The sequence below is a fragment of the Homo sapiens genome, chromosome 4, assembly GCF_000001405.40.
Source record: "Homo sapiens chromosome 4, GRCh38.p14 Primary Assembly".
Lineage (NCBI taxonomy): Eukaryota > Metazoa > Chordata > Mammalia > Primates > Hominidae > Homo > Homo sapiens.
The window spans coordinates 141,129,018-141,147,691 of record NC_000004.12 but is presented as its reverse complement, the minus strand read 5'-3'; the positions used below and the strand labels follow the sequence as shown (position 1 = coordinate 141,147,691).

Genomic DNA, 18,674 nt, shown 5'->3' with positions numbered 1-18,674 from the left:
AGGAATGAGCTGTTACTGTTGAGGGATTAGTCTGCCTAAGTTTGGGAGGAAATATTTGCAAGCCCACTTGGCTAAGATCCAGTTATTTTGGCCAAGACTGCTATGTTTTCACCAAAATCCATTCCCTCTGCCTTGTGTACATAGAGATACACTAAATTTGCAACTTTCCCAACCTGCTTTACAGTTAGGTTAGGCCATGTGACTGGGTTCTAGGCAATGGAATATTAACTTATGTACACTTCTTCCAAATCTGCCACATGAAAACCTCCTGTGTAATCTTTCACGCTCTCTCTTTCCCAGTTATTAACTGATGTAGAAACTTCAGCATCAGACTTTGAAGCTCTAGGGATGGAGCCACATTATGGAAGGTCCATTGAATGGCCATGCTGAAGGCCACCTGCCAAGCAGGAACATCCTTACTGGACTACATATGAACAATAAATTAACTTTTGTTCAGTCCCTGAAATTTTAGAGTTGGTTTGTTGACAAACCAGTATTACTTATCATAACAAACACAGTCACCAGGCTGGGCAACATAGTGAGATCCTGTCTCTGTGAATAATACAATGATTAGCCGAGTGTGGTGACATACACCTGTAGGCCCAGCTACTCGGGATGCTGAGGTGGGAGGAGCGATTGAGCACGGGAGGTTGCAGTGGCCATAATCGCATCACTGCACTTCAGCCTGGGTGACAGAGCAAGACACTGTCTCATAAACAAAAACAAAAGCAAAACACAGTCACATTCTCTAAAGAGCTTTTATCAGTAATAAAGCTAATATATTGCTGCCATCTGTTTGAGTCCTATCTCTCAACTTGCTCTAATCTTGAGAGTGGAAAGAAGGTATTGTTGATTGATTCCTTAAACCTCCAGCAGATTGTATACTTCTCTTAGTGGAGATAACAAAGTTGCCTTGAGTGGGATGTAGGACCTACAAGATGGGTCCAGCAAGGTCATTTGGTGGGCTTCATATCTGAGAGTGTTCCAAAGTTTGGCTAATATTCAATGGCAACTTGGCAAAGGGATGAGAGTACAGTAACCTCATCACAAACCTTAACTTTCTTTTTTTTAAACTCTTCAATTATGGCTTCCCCAAGTTTTTCTGAGACATATTGCTGATAATTACAGCAGTTGTTGCATATTACTCTTAAATATTCCCAGGAGGCAGTCCATTTTCATAAATAAGAAGATGGCCCAACCTATGCTTTAAGAATAGTTGGCTCATGTTATGGGATCATACTCATATGCTGATTGTCTTTTCCCAAAGAATGCAATTAAAGTTATTTGCATGACGTAGTGAATGTTTCTTAAATTCAGCAAACAATAATTCTCTTGTGAATATTCTTACTGGAAGATAGGATAAAAAACGTTGAAGAAGGTTTCAATCTGTAAAAGGAATGTTTCTCCTGCAGACATTTTTCCTCCCTAGGAAAACAGGGTCAAAGGCTCTATTATTTGGATCTGCAATGTGACATGAATTTTAAAACCACTTTAGCTTAGTCAATAGAACCGATCCTATTTCTGATTTATTAAACATGTATCCATCCCAAAGTAACAGAATGTAGCAGATCTCATTGTTGGTTAGATCACATTTTCTCTTCCCAAGTCCCGGAAATATTTAACCAGTCAAGTTAAATTCTTCCTTGTAATGTAACAGGCAAAGGGACCAATGAGAAGCTTGCTATGTAGCAATGAACAGTAGGTGGAAGGCAGTGGGACACTGAACATGCTTGACTCCAGACACACACTGAGGCAGCCGTGTTTGATGCTATATCTGTCCTGACACAATGATACCCTGAGACACAACCTGACTCCTCAAAATCTGCACAAGATATAAAAGTGGGGAACCTGAACCATAGTAGAACTTGAACATTGGATCTTCCATAAGATATAGTCATCCAAGTAGGCCCTGACCCATGAGAGACTTCTGTCCTGGGTAAAGAGATGGGCTGGGCAATTGATACAATTCCTTTTTGGTTTATACATCCAAAAATGAGATTTTCTTTTTCTTTTCATGGCACCTCATTTCAAAGATTTTTCAGTTTAATGTAGCCATGCCAAGTAAGGCAAGAGAAACAGGCTGTAAATCATTGGTGAGCCTACAGAACTTATTCCATGCTAAATGGTCAGCTATACTATTCACATGAATACACACATGTGCATATACAAGTCCCTACACCTACATACTCACTCTGTTAACTGGAAATGATCTATGTATATTCAGTTATAGAGCCTGTTGAGATCCTTCTACAAAAATTTATCTTTATAATAGGTTATTTCTTTATTCCAGCATCATATTAAGCTAGCCTTCATAATATTCCACAGTTTGCTTATTTTTATTCATCTTAATGTTATGTTAAGTAAAAATATTTCTAACTCAATTTGTATTTATTTCTTCATAGGTCAATGTTCATTTTCTTTGACACTTTGAAGACATTTTGTAACTATTTAAATTCTACACCATCTTATTTGCCATTAAAAAACTTATGTAACACACTTAAGTTCAGGAAATTATTTAGCCAATTATAAACACTGACTAGTTTGGGAATTGAAGTGTTACTGTTATTACCCATTAATATTTTTTTAATCCTCATTTTTTCTGGAATAAGTGAAATGCAAATATGAGGTAAATGTCTTATATGACCAAGATTGTATTTTAATCTAGACGTCAGGGAAATTTCCAGACATGAAGTCCAGACCATGTGTTACTCTTTTGCCTAAGCTATCTGTCCTATAGATATAAATATTTTATTATCAAATTTAAATTATTAGCTGATGTCATAATTTTTGTTACTGGAGCATCTTGGTTCATTTAATCAGCATGCCTTTCCTTCCTTCCTTCCTTCTACGTTTATTGAGAATCTACTTCCAGGCCTTTTAAGACTTAGGAAATATAACTAAAGTCCCTGCTTTCATAACACTTGTGTCTAGTATCTAGGAAAGAACCACGAAGCCCTATAGAAAATATTTTCCAAAGTAAGGATTTTTTCCTACATTTCCTCTGATTAAGAATATTTATAATTAGCTCATCTTTACCTTTCCTCACTGAGGGGAGGAGTCGTTTTTGTTCCTAAAGTTTCTGAAGTCTAAGAGCATTCATGCTCCTAAAAACATTAATAAACATCAAGAGCAAATTGAGCTTATTAGCCACAAAGTCTGATTTCAAGGCAATTCTCCTGCATAGAATTCACGATCTCTCCACATAACTGGACTAGAATCCTCAAAAGCAAACAGTAACTCAGGCCCAGACTCCAAAGCGAGCAAATAGAGTTTGACAATTGCCAAATTAAAGACTAATTCAACAAAACACAGTCTTTATCAGTGTGGCATAGCTTCTGGCAAGAAGATTGGAAAGCTTAGTCTGATATGTGCTAGGAGGATAAGGATTATATTTTTGGAATAATGACTGTTGAGCAAATTTATCAAATTACAGATCACAAAGTCTTATTTAATCAAATAGTGGTTGGAATTCACATCCAATCCATATTGGATATACAGTAAATACTACCTGCATCCAATATGATAGGGATTTTTGGGTTTCCCTCACTAAAAGTTTTGTGGGTTTTTTTTCCCCCAGCAACTTCTGCTACTTGGTTTATTATGAGCCAGACCATGATAAGCATTGAATATAAAGTTCTGAACCCTAATTTCAATAAATACCATTTCAGTGGCAGAGAGTATAAAAAGCAAGTAAATAGGGTATATAGGCAAAACAATTGCATGCTGTTATTAAAAGCTCTATGAGAAAAAATAAGAGGAGTGAAATATAATAGTTGAAAGGAGATTTATTCTAGGGAGGGTGGTCAGGAAAAGTACCTCTTTGAAGGTGGCATTTAAAATAAAGGAAGAGGCATTAGTCCTTTGAAGGGTGAGGGAAAGAGCATTCCAGACACAAGGAATGCCATGTGCAAAAGCCCTGAAGAGAGTGGAACCAAAGCTTGTTGCATGTGAGGATCTGAAAAAAACAAAACAAAAACAAACCAGTGTGGCTGAGGTCATGAAAGAAAGTACCAGACTGAAGAAAAGGCAGGGGCAGACCGGAAAAGGCACAGGCTCACTTAAAGTGGGGGATTTACGTTTTAAGAAGTCCACTGACTTGCCGTGTGGAGACTCCGGGACCAGGGAAGCCCTTAGTCCAGTTAGAAGACTACTGTATTCACTGTGACAAGCGAGCCTGGTGGACTGAACTAAGGTGGTAATGGGGAGATGGAGAGAAGAGTAGGTTTGAGATTTATTATGAAGATTGGATTAACATAACAGAGCTGGTGATGGGTTAGATGTTTAGACGTGGGGCAGGGAGCAGTGAGGGAAAGCAAGGAATAAAAAACTCTTAGCTGGAGTGGGTAGCATTGCCATTTACTGTTTGATGAAGATTGGCATGAGAATAAAGTTCAGTATTTGACATAATTTTGTGATACTCATAAATCTTCAATATAGATATGTAAATTAGGCAGCTGGATAAGCGAGTCTGGGGCTCAAAGAAAATAAATTCAAGAATCATCAGTTTAAAGATGAGATACCTGACCAGGCGCGGTGGCTCACGCCTGCAATCTCAGCACTTTGGGAGGCCAAGGAGGGAGGATAGCCTGAGCTCAGGAGTTTGCGACCAGCCTGGGCAACACGGTGAAACCCCGTATCTACTAAAATACAAAAAATTATCTGTGCATGGCTGTGTGCGCCTGTAGTCCCAGCTACTCAGGAGGCCAAGGCAGGAGAATTGCTTGAACCTGGGAGGTGGAGGTTGCAGTGAGCCGAGACTGCACCACTGCACTCCAGCCTGGGTGACAGAGACAGACTCTATCTAAAAAAAAAAAAAAGAGAAAAAAGAGAGATACCTAGAATGGGGGTAGATCACCTACATAATATAAAATGAAGATAAGAGACCACAGCAATCCTTAGGTCAGAGCCTGAAGGAACCCCAACATTTTCCTAGGAGTACAAGGAGTAGCACTGAAGAAATCAAGAGAGCAGAGTGTGTCAGACAGGAGGCCGTGGTCAACCGCATCAGATATGGCTGAGAGGTTACGTAAGGTGAGGAAAGAAGTGTTCCCATTGAATCTGACAAAGCAGCAGTCACCAGTGACCACAGAAGTTTCGGTGAGTGGCCTGGGCAGAAGCCAGAATATACTGGGTAAAGGACGGAAGAGAGTGACAACTACGATAGCCAATGTTTTTGAAAAGTTTTGCTATAAAAAGGGAGGAGGAATGAAGTTGTTGGAAGAACAGGAAAGATTCTTTTCAGGTGAGACTAGAGCCTGTCTGTGTGCCGACAGGACTATTCCAGTTAACAGGGAGGTTACTGATGTGGAAGAGGGAGGAGATCATGGTAAGGACTAAGTTCCTGAGAAGGCCAGAGGGGACAAGATTCTGAGAAAAAGTGAGAGTTGGCTTTGATAGGCTGGAGGGTGTCTTTTTCATTTAAACAACAGAAAAGGATACATTGGGGTAAAAGTAGATGATAGGTTTTAGGATCAGGTGGTGGGAAGATGGGGAGTTTGATTCTAAAGGCTTCCTTTTCTAAAGAAAATCTGGTGTGATATCATAGCTAAGAGTAAGAAACTAAAGAGTGTGGGGAAGGCATGACAGGAGGGAAGGTATAAAACGTTCAAAGGAGACATTCTAGGGAACCCATTAAAAAAACACAGTAGCATTCCTACAGCTGCCAATGTGAAGTTTACATCATAAATTTAAAATAAAACTGATCAGCTCAGTGGTGCCATCTTGGCTAATATAAAAATAATTATATGAATGCGAGAGAGAATTGTCCTTAACTTTTGTCACCCCAATGTTCTCCATGGTGGAACTGGATGACCTGATGGGCCACACTGGTGTCATCTTTCTCACAGTTTTTTTATTATATTATTATTATTTGAGACAGAGTCTTGCTCTTTTGCCCAGGCCAGGCTGAAGTGCAGTGGCTCGATTGACTCACCACAACCTCTGCCTCCCTGTAACCTCCACCTCCCGGGTTCAAGCAATTCTGGTGCCTCAGTCACTGAGTAGCTGAGATTACAGGGGTGTGCCACCACGCCCAGATAATTTTTGTATTTTTTAGTAGAGACAGGGATGTGCCATGTTTGGCAGGCTGGTCTTGAAATCCTGGCCTCGAGTGATCTGCCGCCTTGGCCTCCCAAAGTGCTGGAATTACAGGCATGAACCATTCACAATCTTATTCTTAATAAGCTCAAGGAGGAAAACTTTTTCAAAGAGAGAGGAAACCTGTTCTTGTGTCAAGGGTATTGCATAGCTAGCTTCCTCAACCAGAATTTCCAAGTACCTTATCCAGATTCGTTTGTAGACTCCAATAGAGTCAAGCCTAGCAGCAACAGTAACAGAAATGGAAATACAAAATTGTACATGACCTCATTAACAGAATCACTAAGTCCACAGAATGTAAGTTTGAGAGGTCTTTAAACATCATCAATTTCAACACCTTCATTTTACAGAAGAGAAACTTTACAGAAGGTACTGCTCTACTAATTCAGTGTAGATAACAAACATGAAAACCAGCACAGGACCTGGCTTATGGGAAATAGTAAATGCTATTTTCTGTCCCCTGTTCCTTTCCAGTGTCCTTACTATGTGGTGAGAGAACTAGTCAATGGAAATACATTAATGCTGTAGTCTTGTGACTGGCTCTGTGTGATTATGGCTCAGTGGATATTTAGGAATTAGTACCAATAGGAAAGCATGACAAAATGAGTGATTAGTCATGCTGCAGTCTTGACCTAAATAGCAAATTAGGCACAGAGCTGGGATTAAAACTCTGACACCTGTGTTTGCAGTGCTACCGCTGTCTCCCTCAATTGTCCTAGATTGCTGTTTACCAGCCCTGTGGGAATGGGCCTCATCATAAAAGGGAAAGTATTTATGAAAACATCCTTCTAAACAACCAAATAGAAAGGGCAGGAAGAGGGCCTGGATTCTCTCCCCTCTTTTGTGGTAATTTTAACACAGTACAATTTACAGATGCTTGTGTCTAACAGCTGTCCGGCTCAGTCAGTGCACAGTGCTCTGAATGTCTTGGCTTTTAGTTCAACCTCCCTCATTCCAGCTTTTTGGCGAAAAAGGACAAGATGATCTTTCAAAGAGCAGAAAAAGAAAAGCAGATAGTTTTTAAAATGTACTCAATGAAAAGTAATGATTTAGAACAAAAAAAAATGAACAACTATGTGAAAAAATAAGAAGAAAAAGGAAACAGATGTATTGTGGTGAGAGTTTTCTGTGGGTTTTGGCTCAAGTCTCAAATGAGTTTTTCCAAGCTGACTTTCCATATCTAGCCTCCCAAAACATTTTATGACATAAAGTTGTTTGGAAGAGTTTATGATAAAAGGAAAGAAGCCCAAATTAAATGTCAAAATTGTATCAAAGACTGAAATAAAAAGAAGTCACTTGATAATTCAAAGGAGCAAAAAAGAAAAAAGGATATTTTTAGCAAGGTATCCTATTGTTCTGAAATTTAAGAAGTTAGTAAGAGAACAAAGAGCAAAGAAGTGAATATTATTAGTTTCATGCATACTCTCTAAAAAAACGTTTCCAAAACCTTCCATTTCCATCTGCAGTACTTGTAGCAGAAGCTGCAGGGGTTGCTGGGCTCTTAAAGTTCATATACCTTGCCCGTACAGCAAGTACCTGGCCTCAGAGAAGCAACGCGCCCCACCACCAATGCTAAGAAAACTTACGAAAGCAAAAAATGAAGTGAAGGCTTGAGAGCTGAAATGAACAAAGAAATTAAGCAGAGGAAAAAGAAGTGAAGTTCAAATCAGAGTCAAGTTAATGAACAAGATGATGAATATCTGAGACAAAAAGACTACCAATGTGGTAGTATAGCCCTTAAAATCATACCCTAGAGTCAGACTTCCAGGATTACAACCCCCACTCTTATACTTGCTACCTGCATGGCCTCGGGCAAGTTACTCCACTCTTAACTTTTTGTTTCTTCATTTGTGTAATGACCTCATAAAATCATCCTGAGAATTAATTAAGACAGTCTATGTAGTTAATAAAGTGCTTAGAACAAATAGTGCCTGCATGTACATTAAGTGGTCAAAAACTGCAGCTCTTCATTACTATTTATTATTCAACACATTTACTGATGCCTTCTATGGGCCAGACACTGCAGCAGACGCTGAGAATATAGTCATAAGCAGGACATCTTTCTTGAACAGCTCTGCAAGCCTACTCCTTTGTAAGGCTATCTGGGCTAACTGTGATGCAGAATCGACCTGGTTCAATCATCCCTAAATGTTTTCATTTCTATGTGGAATTACTGCTCTCACTGAATTCTTATATGTGTGTTTTAAAAATGACCACACTCCACCTTCACAATTCACCTAGATGATTACATCTGTCGCTAAAACTAGATTCTAAACTTGATGGGAGGAGCCCTGCCATTCCTCTGAGCGTCAGCGCAGGGCCTAACACAGAGATGGCAACCATATAAACATAAATGAATACCCTACTTTATTTTTTCGAGACAGGGTCTCGCTGTATCATCCAGGCTGGAGTACAGTGGCGTGATTGGTCATGGCTCACCACAGCCTCGAACTCCTGTGCTCAAGTGATCCTCCTGCTTCAGCCTCCCAAGCAGTTGGGACTACAGGCACTTGTGCCACCATGCCTAGCTAAATTTTTCTTTGTCTTCTTTTTGTAGAGACAGGGTCTCCCTATGTCGCCTAAGGCTGGTCTTGAACTCCTGACCTCAAGCAATCCTCCCGCTTCCACCTCCCAAAACTGATATTACAGACTTGAGTCACCACACCCAGCCTAAATTGACTTTCCTTAAATATTTTTGGATATTAAAATTTTTAGACTCTGTTCCCTCCTACTCTTCTTGTCCTGACCCCTCCTTGAAATCTCTTCTCTTCCATGTGGCCAACATATATGTCCTTTGGAATCTTCCAATAATCCTGGGAGATGTAATCACTCCACTTTGAAGAGAAGATTGTGGCTCAGCACAGTTAAAATTGCCCATGTGGCAGGCCTGAGATTCTAATCCTGGATTGCCTGGCGCCAAATGTCCTGGTGCCAAATGTCCAACTCCACCACTACAGCACTGTACCTCCCCTTCCAAACAAACATGGAAGACTGGGAAGAGGAAATATCTTTAGGACAGGATATATGAAACTAAATGTCACAGTATGTTACTTCAAGGAAAATTGATTAAAAAAATAATAATGCCAGCCTTTACACATAAAGTAATGTGAATTCTCTATTATATTTTGAGGATTTCTTTCCCTATTTGCAGTTATGTGGAATATATTTTGAAGAGTGTTCCCTCTTTTCAGGGATGGGGACAGTTATCTAGGAGCCTATTGTGAATAAAGGACATATGCTGAAGAATTAAACAGGCATCAAAAAATGCCTGTTTGATTGCATTAAAAATGCAATCCACCAATCAATTAATGTAAAATGAAAAATATAATACAGATCAAACCCTGTATGTTGAATCTTCTCCACATAAAATTTTAATTAAACCATTAAAATATGTATGTGTAGGAGGAATTGTATTTTTAAATGTTATGATTCATTTTTTAGAAGTCTAAGGTAGAATTCCCTTTGAACATGCTGTGCACATTAATGGCAAGAAGCAAAAGCAGCGTCAAGGTTGAGAGTTTCTTAAAGAAAGTTCAATTTGCTGACACTCAGAGAAATGGGCACTGCCATTCTCTGCTGTGGCTGCTGTTGTTTCTCAGAAACGTATGCTGTATGTATTTAAGTCAAATCTGCCTCTACCTCTTATGAAATAAGATCTCTGTACACCAAAGAGCCCTCTGGAAACCTACTAATTCCATCTTATCTGGGCTGCCTGGCTGGTGGAGAAAGTCCCCCAAAGGCCAGGACTCACCACTAAGCTGTCTTCTGGGTATATTTTAAAAACTATTTTAGGGAGCTCACTTTACTTTGTTGCATGGTGAGGCAAACCTTTGGAAAAGTAATTTGGCGATTGTGTATGTGTCGATAACTTAAAAATTATTCATGTGCTTTCATTCAGTAATCTTCCCCCCAAGACTCAATGCTGAAGCAAACTGCATGAAATTGCCATTTTGGATGTCTCTCTAGGCACCTTGAATAGAACCTGTCCAAACTCTCGATTCTTTCCCCAATCAACTTCTCTTGCAATCATCTTCATCTCAGAAAATGACTATTCCTCCATTCTGCCAGTTACTTAGGCTCCAAACTGTAGTGTCTTTCTTGGCTCCTCTTCTTCTTCCATACTACATGTCAAATGCATCAGAGAATACTGTTTATCCCACCTTCAAAACATATTGAGGATCGAATCACTTCTCACCATGCTCATTGCCACCTTCCTGACACAGGTCATTATCCTCTGTTTCCTGAATTACTGTTGAGTTCCTAATTGCTCTACTTGCTCCCATACTTGCTTGGATACAGTCAGACTAAATCTTTTAAAACACAACAGACCACATATACTTCCTCACTCAAAAATCTCCAAAGTTTTCTCCTCTCACTCAGAATAAAATGCAAAATGTTCACACCTTTGACTGCAAGGCCACATATGATTTGCTCCCCATCTTTCTGATCTTATTTTCTTCACTCAGTTTCTACTTTCATCTCCATCCTTAATGGTCTTAATGGTTTCTTTGCTGTTTTTCTGCATATCAAATACAATCTTGCCTCAGATTGTACTTGTACTCATACACTTGTACTCATGTACTTGCCTCAGATTGTACTTATACTCAGATTGTACTTGTACTTTTCCTGGTAAAACCAGTCCCCCAAATAGCCACATAGAATCCTTATTTCTTTCAATATTCTGTTCAAAAGTCACCTCACAAAGCAGCTGACCCTGACAGAAAATACCTTATGTGACATAGGTTACCCTTCCATACTCTGTTGCCTTTTTCTTCATAGCAGATGTCATTATCTGACATAATCTAAAGCTTTTTAGAAATTTCTGTTTTTTTCCAACTCCAGAATATAAACTCCATGAGAGCAAGAATCTTATCTGTTTTGTTTCAGTTGGATGCCCAGTGCCTGTAACACCAATGCGTTAACAGGTGCTCGATAATTATTGTTGGATGAAGAAATGAAATACAGAGATGTTTTTATCTACAACAGTATTATATATTTGGGGGGTGGTATAGCAAGCGCTCATTGCTCTCCCCAAATACCACTTGTCAGTTGTTCAAGAAGTGCCACTGGAAAAAAGAGTAGCAGGGTTGCCAGAAAATCATTAGCACAAAGCTGGAAACATATTAATGTCCCCTCAAAAACTGAACTTTTGACTTATTAAAAATATCATGAATTGGGCTCAAATTCTCTGAAAGTGTAGCTAGTGGAAACCAATATGTCATAGATAATCATTTTTTTTTCTGAACCATTTAAGAGTAAGTTGCAGAAAGAATGTCTCATCACTGCTAAATTCTTCAATGTACATAGCCCCCCAACCACAGACATTCTTCTACAAAACTACAATATAAATATCCAAGTCAGGAATTCACCATTGATAAAATATACCATCCAATCTACCAATTTCACTGAATTTTTGCCAAGTGTTTATTTTTCCTTTCTGGTCTAGGAGCCAATCTGGGATATTTATTGTACGTAATTGTCACATCTCTTAAATCTCTTCAATTTGGATCAGTTCTTCTGTTTTTCTCTGTCTCTCATAAGTTTAAGAGTTTTAAAGAATATAAACTTTTCATTTTGAAGGTTGCCTCTCATCCTGGGTTTATCCATTGTTTCCTTATGTCTAGACCATGCCGTGTATTGTTCTTTTCAGGAACATGACAGAAATGACACTGTAATTCCAGTGCATTTCATAAGGAGGTACATGATAGGACTCATTCTACAAATGGTGATGTTCACCATGATCACCTGCTCAACTTGGTGTCTTCCAGGTTCCTCTTCAATAAATTCACCATTTATTGAATTAATAAGTATTTTTCAGAAGATACTTCAAGACTAGGCTAATATCCTGCTTCACATCAAACACCTACTCATCAGCCTTAGTATCCATTGATGACTCCTGCCTAAATCAAACAACACTCTTGTCAAATGGTGACTTTCTATATCCATTAATCCTTATCAGTAGGTATTTCTACCATAAGGAAGAGCTGTTCCTCCCTATTTATTTACTCCATCATTTTTCTGTATTAACATTAGCACGGATTCATGCCTTATTAGATAGGTTGTAATCAGTTACTAGGATCATTTATTTTATGTTCAGACTGTCCCAGATTTGGCCAGTGGGAGCCCTTTCCAGCTGGCTCTTCTGTCTTTTTGACATACTCCCATCATGCTTGGAGCATTTCCTTTCAAGAGGTTATGGGCTCACTCTGTACTTTCCCAGTGTCAGCCCTATAATCAGCCAGCTTGCTTTTCGTGGAGGATGCTATTTAGAAACGAAGATCTTCTGGCCACTGGATGTGCCTTTTGCTTTTGGCCTCTGAATGGAGAGAGCTATGGTATATATGTGTGCACACACATAAATATATATACATATAGTTTTTGAAAAATTATTTCATACTCATTGTTAATCCACCCTAAAGCCTCAAGGTTATTTACAGCTCTCTTTCTTTCCATATTTGTAAATTCCTTCTCCAACAGTAAGAAACCTCGCTCCTATTTTACTCAGTGTTTTACTTATTAGCCCAATGGCCCTGTAATTAAGCAATCTTCCAGCCATGCTATTTCCTTGACCCTGTCATCTCTTTAGCACCTAACTTTTCCAAAGGAAAGAAGGGGTAAGGGATAGTCACACATTCTTAATAACATAGCTTCTCCAAGTCTTCCAGCTGGAGAAAAAAAATGCTAAGCGATAAAGAAGACTGGGGAAACACTGTGGGTTGCTAAAGGCAACTGCTCAGAACCTAGCCGGGGGTTTCTAGCAGTGGACTCCTCCCTCAGATCTCTGGTGGTTCAGGAACCAGCAGCCAGGTGTCTCCACTTTTGCCTCCTTGGCAGTAAGCGCTATAAAAAGCACTGTCCCAATTGCCTAGAAGCCTATTTTCTAAAATGAATAAGCTAGGAACACATACAAATTCAGCACATCAAATGCCATAGAGACAAATTCTTCTAAGTAGTTCTTCTTGTGCCTGCTTCTAATTTGGGTACAGCTGAGGCTCTTTGCCCTCCCTTAACAGCCATCAGCTGTTTGTACTGCTGCCGGAAAAAGAGAAGTTGTACTGGTGGACGTTCATTAACGAAGAGCTGTAAACATGCTAAAGTCCTGGGGAAAAGGCAGCCTTTCATTTTTTAAATTTAAATCATGAATGGGTCCTGGGTTCTCTGAAAGAGCATCAGGTGGGAAACACAATGTAAATGATAGAGAACCATCAAACAAATATTTTTAGAGACTATATGGCAGGCATCTCAAGCCAAGGGAAAGGATATCCACCACCAAAACGTCTAATTGGTAAGGCACTCTGCTGTACTACAGTTTTAAGAACACTACACTAGGGGGACTGTACTGTCTGCTGACTACTGTAATCTCTATGCACAGTTGGAGAGCGCACTATAAACAATAACCCAAACAAACCTCCCTTGCCTGTTGGTGCTGCGAGTCCCCTGTTCCCAGCCATGACAATCAGAATAAACACAGTCCAGAAATGTCTCACCCGGTTTCTCTTCTTACAGAGTGACAAAACACCTATTCTATAAGAAAACGAATGTTAGATGTTTGCTTCCAGGTGGGCAGTAGGAAGCCCATTGTTATACCCATCTTAACAGAATGGTTGTTAGACCAGCAGCATCAGCACCACCTGGGAACTTGTTAGAAATGCATATTTTTGGGGCCCTACCACAGATCTACTGAACCAGAAACTTTGTGGCAGGACCCATCGGTCTGAGTTTTAAAACTAAAGATTTGATAGCCACTGCCCTAGGTATTCCAGAGGTAGCTTTGGAAGGACCTCAATACCAAACCACCTTACACTTTGGCCTTAGGACAGGTAATCAGGGAGCTCACGGCAGTACTTCCAGCAAACGGGAGGGTCGTTTACGAGAGGCACATACATTTGCTAAATGTAACGCTCAGGAAGTTATTCCCGTACTCAAAGGTCGAGGGGTCGCTTCCTCTTTACCTCCACCTAGATTAAGTCGCCGATTGAGGTTGAATTTGAGACCCGACAGGGGTCGCTGCTGCCCATAAAGAGAGACCAAGGGAACATGGCAAGAGAATCCCAGGGGCTTTGACATCACACTAAGCTCCTCCTTGCACGCACACATTATACACACACACACACACACACACAAACATACAGACACACACACACGGACCGCTTACTCCGCTCTGCCTGCTCGCTCCCACTGTCCCCAAGCCCGCCCCGCCCGCGGCAAGTGCGTGCCCAGGCGCAGCCACCGGCGAGATCAGGAGCGCAGCGCCCGCAGCCTGAGGGAACCGGCGCAGGGCAGCAGCGGCTGCAGCTGGATTCGCGCGCCCCAGCGCTCAGTGGCGGCGGCCGGGACACCCTGGGCAGCACCCCGCACCGCAGCACCCCAGACTACGAGCAATCGTGCCCGTCCCCGCCGGGGCTGGAGGGCGCAGGGCCGCCACCCTGCAAGTTCGTGGGCCCCCGGCCACCCTTATGAGAGAAGGCGAAGCCGGGCGAAGGAGCAGGACGCTCGGCAGCAGGACTCCTCCGCAAGCCCCGCGGGCCCTCTGTTCCCGCGCCCCCCGGGCGCCCAAGAAGCAAAATGCAACCACCGCGCTACAGCTGAGAGGGGAAGGGGCCAGCGCCATCCGCTCGCCCGGAATCCGGTCCCCGCGGCGGCTGCGCGTCCCGGCCGCGGCCCCTCCGGCCCGGGAGTGAGCAGCAGCAGGAGGAGAGGCAGCGGCCCGGGGTTGGCCGGGGCTGGGGAGGAGGGACGGGACGGAGGGAGGGCGCGGGGGCGGGGAGGGGGCCCCGGCGGATAAAGATGGCAATGTCTCTCATCCAAGCGTGCTGCAGTCTGGCTCTCTCAACATGGCTGCTTTCCTTTTGTTTCGTGCATCTGCTCTGCCTGGACTTTACCGTGGCCGAGAAGGAGGAATGGTACACCGCCTTCGTGAACATCACCTACGCCGAGCCCGCGCCGGACCCCGGGGCCGGGGCGGCGGGCGGCGGCGGCGCGGAGCTGCACACGGAGAAGACGGAGTGCGGGCGCTACGGAGAGCACTCGCCCAAGCAGGACGCCCGCGGGGAGGTGGTCATGGCCAGCTCGGCCCACGACCGCCTGGCCTGCGACCCCAACACCAAGTTCGCCGCCCCGACCCGCGGCAAGAACTGGATAGCCCTCATCCCCAAGGGCAACTGCACGTACAGGGATAAGATCCGGAACGCGTTCCTGCAGAACGCCTCAGCCGTGGTCATCTTCAACGTGGGCTCCAACACCAACGAGACCATCACCATGCCCCACGCGGGTGAGTGGCCCAGCGGGCGCGGGGGAGGGGAGCCGGCGGGGACGGAGGTGCCTAGAGGGATCCAGCGCCTGCCTCCAGGCTCCTTCTGGGAAGTCCGTGCGGCGCGGAAGACGTGTCTGGGTTCCCTGGACCGATTAAGTTTTGCTCCGCGTCACTTGGGGGGTTTACAAAGAGGAGAAGATTAACTGTATTGGGTAGGGGAGAGGCTGCCGGAGAGCTTGGCATAGCGCCGCTTGGACAGGGGTTCAACGTGGCGGGCTAACTTTTCCGAGGGGGACCTGGAAGGTGGGGTTTGGAGGGTAGGGCTCAGATACTGTTCTTGGTTAGTGACCGGCCCAGCACCTGTTTGGAACCAGTAGATCTGATACCACAGCACTGCCCTTGGGTCTGTGCATCAGGTATACCCTGATGCAGGCGCTATATCAGGAGAGGGGTAGGGTTACCTGCTGGCAGCTCACCACCGCGAACTTGCACTTGGGAGAGTTTCCCCTTTTGGGTTTACGCACTTCATTAATCATATTAAAAGTACTATGCTCTGCCAGGCTGTCATCCAGAGAAACTGACAGGTGGCCACGATGGTAAATAATAACAATCCTCAACAAGCCAAGAAGAGTGTGATGGCCCTAAAGTTATAACTACTTTTCTAATTATTGCATTATCCTTTGCCTGATTGGGAGGTTAAATATGCTGAAGGTTTTCTTTCTGGCTAGAATGAAGGGATTTCAGACTAGAGAGAATAAGCTTTTGTTAATGATCGCAGGTACCAGGACTAGAAATGCATTACTGTCCCAAAACTCAATACCGCATATGCCTGACATAAGCAATGTTTCCCTGGTGGTAGGAACACCCTCCCCCCAAAAAAGCCATCCCCAGGCTTGTTAACATAAGTCCATAAGCCACTAGTTTTAGCAAGCTAGCCTCCTTATGTCAGAGCTTGCTGCTTGTATTTGTGTGCCTGAGAAGTGGGCCCTCCTTCCCCAAAGGGGTTTCTGGGCCGAGACTGTGGCATCCAGTGCCCGGAAGGAGGGGAGAAAATGACAGATGCATTTTCTGAGTGGAGTCTCCTAATCAAAAGCATTATTTTCTTTAAAAACCAAATTTGAATAAATAGTTACGCTGCTGAAATGGAACACCAAGCTCTGGCTACATTTGTAGGGGTGTTCTCTTTGGGGACAAGTTTCCATTCCGAGAGCTCATGTCACCTATTAGTGAAATATTCAATTGGTTTGCCTCCAGTAATCAACACCAGCTGTTTTAGTCAGGGAAATTTGTCAACCTTAACACAAACAGGTGGGGAGGGGAAATGTTCCAGACTTCTAAAACACAGGCCAGAAAAATGTAGTGTGTTAATTAATGAAGAGGAGGAGAGGCAATTACTTAGAAAAGTTACAATACAGCACTTTCAGAATATTCGATATATTTTCTTGAGCTCGACAGTTTTCTAAGGGAAAAGATTGTGCTCTCACCTTGAGTCTTAAGAGCACTACTGAAACTTTGATATTCAAGGATGTTAAGGACTATGGAAAGCACTGTAAGTCATGTAAAGCATCTTTAGATAAACATGTTACTTAATATTTAAAACCTCAGTGGAGGAGGGGTGAAGGAAGCTTTTTTGTTTTTGTTGTTCTTTAAACTCCAAGAAGATTGTTAGCTGACTTTGTGAGATTCTTTGTTTCTCTGTGCATATGCATGAAATCTTGAACTCAACTTCTTTGAACATAAAGTAAGAGGCATCATTTGTTCCTGTCTAAAAAGGTTCTCTAGAACTGCCAACACATTGGATCAATTAATGGCTTGCTTATTTTTAAAGAAAACACTAAGCAGATTTCCCACACAAATGATGCTTGATTAAGATAGTGGGAGTGGAAGTTTAGTAATACTGTAGTTTGAACGTTAAAGGAAAAAAAAAATTGGAAATTGTCTATTATCTAATTGTTCTGTTTCCAAAAATGTATTCATGCTGTATCTGCCAATGGCCAGGAAACTCCATATTATCTTCTGACATTTTGCCACATTAGGAGACTCTGTTCACTTCAGTCAGAGGCTAGCATTGATTTCTGCTAGAGTGTCATTATGAGCAGATACATGACAGGGTAGCATGGTAAACCCTTGACTATACTCTGAAATTCTTCTGCCTAAATCTCAAACACTGCCAGCTCTTGTCTGGCTGTCAGTGTCTTCCATGTAGTCCAGATCTTGAAAGCTTTACTTTTCCTAGTTAAATTTGAGGTCAGATTTCTGAATTCAGTTTGAGAAACTGCACATTTTAGATGCTAATCAAATATTTTTATTTTGTGAACTTGGGATACCATACCAGAAAATCTGCATATTTGTGAACTTTTAAATTCAGTTTTTAAAAAGTTTTAAAAACTGCAAAAGCTGATGATATATCTATCACCTTTCCTTAGATGCTTTATTTTTGGAACTGATAGATTTCAGGTGAGAAGGTCTGTATTTAGTGTTATGCAACCTGTCGTTTAACATCTATGCATTTGTGTATCTTGAAATTCAATTAAATAGAAATTGTTTTGTCCTTTTCATATACGTTTTCTGTTTTTTTCTTTTCCTGCTTAAATAATTTTGATTTTCTGCCACTTATGTAACTATAACTTCTCATTCAAAAAGACACCACTTCTCCTGGGATAGACCAGTAGTTTTGCTTTATAACAAGTCACTTTCCTCCCCAGTATAACAGCTTTACTGAAATATAAACATACTCTGCAGTTCACTCATTTAAAGTATGCATTTCAATGGCTTTTAGTGTATTGACTGAGTTGTGCAGCCATCATCACTATCTAGTTCTAATAAGAAACTCTTGTACTTCCCCAATATTCCCCAACTCCTAGTCACTCCCCATTATTCCCCAACTCCCAGCCCTAGGCTAATCTACATTCTGTCTTCATGTATTTAAATGCCTCTTTTGTACCTTTCATATAAATGGAATCATATAATATGTGGACTTCTGTGATTGGCCTCTTTGATTTAGCATAATCTTTCTAAGGTTCATCAAGGTTGTAGCATGCGTCAGTACTTAAACCCTTTTTATTGCCAAATAATATTTCGTTGTATGGATATATCACATTTTGTGTATTTATTCATCAACTGATGGAAAATTACGTTGTTTCTACCTTTTAATTGTTATGAAAAATAGTGCTATGAACATTCATGTACAAGTTTTTGTATGGACATTTCTCTTGATTATATACCTAGGAGTGGAACTTCTGAGTCATATGGCAACTCTATGATTTAATCTTTTGAGGACCTTCTAGACTGTTTTCCAAAACAACTGCATCATTTTGCATTCTCA

The 18,674-nt window shown here is 41.7% G+C and overlaps 1 protein-coding gene across 6 annotated transcripts in view, besides 1 other annotated feature; it reads left to right on the top strand.

Moving 5' to 3' along the window:
* RNF150 (ring finger protein 150) overlaps positions 1–18,674 on the top strand; it is a 353,094-nt gene that overhangs the window by 65,209 nt on the left and 269,211 nt on the right. For 2 of the 6 annotated variants that reach the window (NM_020724.2, XM_005263150.6), the window contains exon 1: positions 14,223–15,367. The exons of the other annotated variants lie outside the window; for them this stretch is intronic. In NM_020724.2, coding sequence (NP_065775.1) covers positions 14,884–15,367 — 484 coding nt within the window. In that variant the 5' untranslated portion in view covers positions 14,223–14,883. Of the gene's footprint in view, positions 1–14,222; positions 15,368–18,674 lie in introns of those variants that run through there. 6 annotated transcript variants of the gene reach the window in all.
* Positions 14,285–14,404: a silencer, noted in NCBI's record as "silent region_15715". NCBI's record gives its function as "represses an Ori minimal core promoter by ATAC-STARR-seq in GM12878 lymphoblastoid cells {active_cell/tissue: GM12878}" and the evidence as "EXISTENCE:reporter gene assay evidence [ECO:0000049][PMID:35858748]".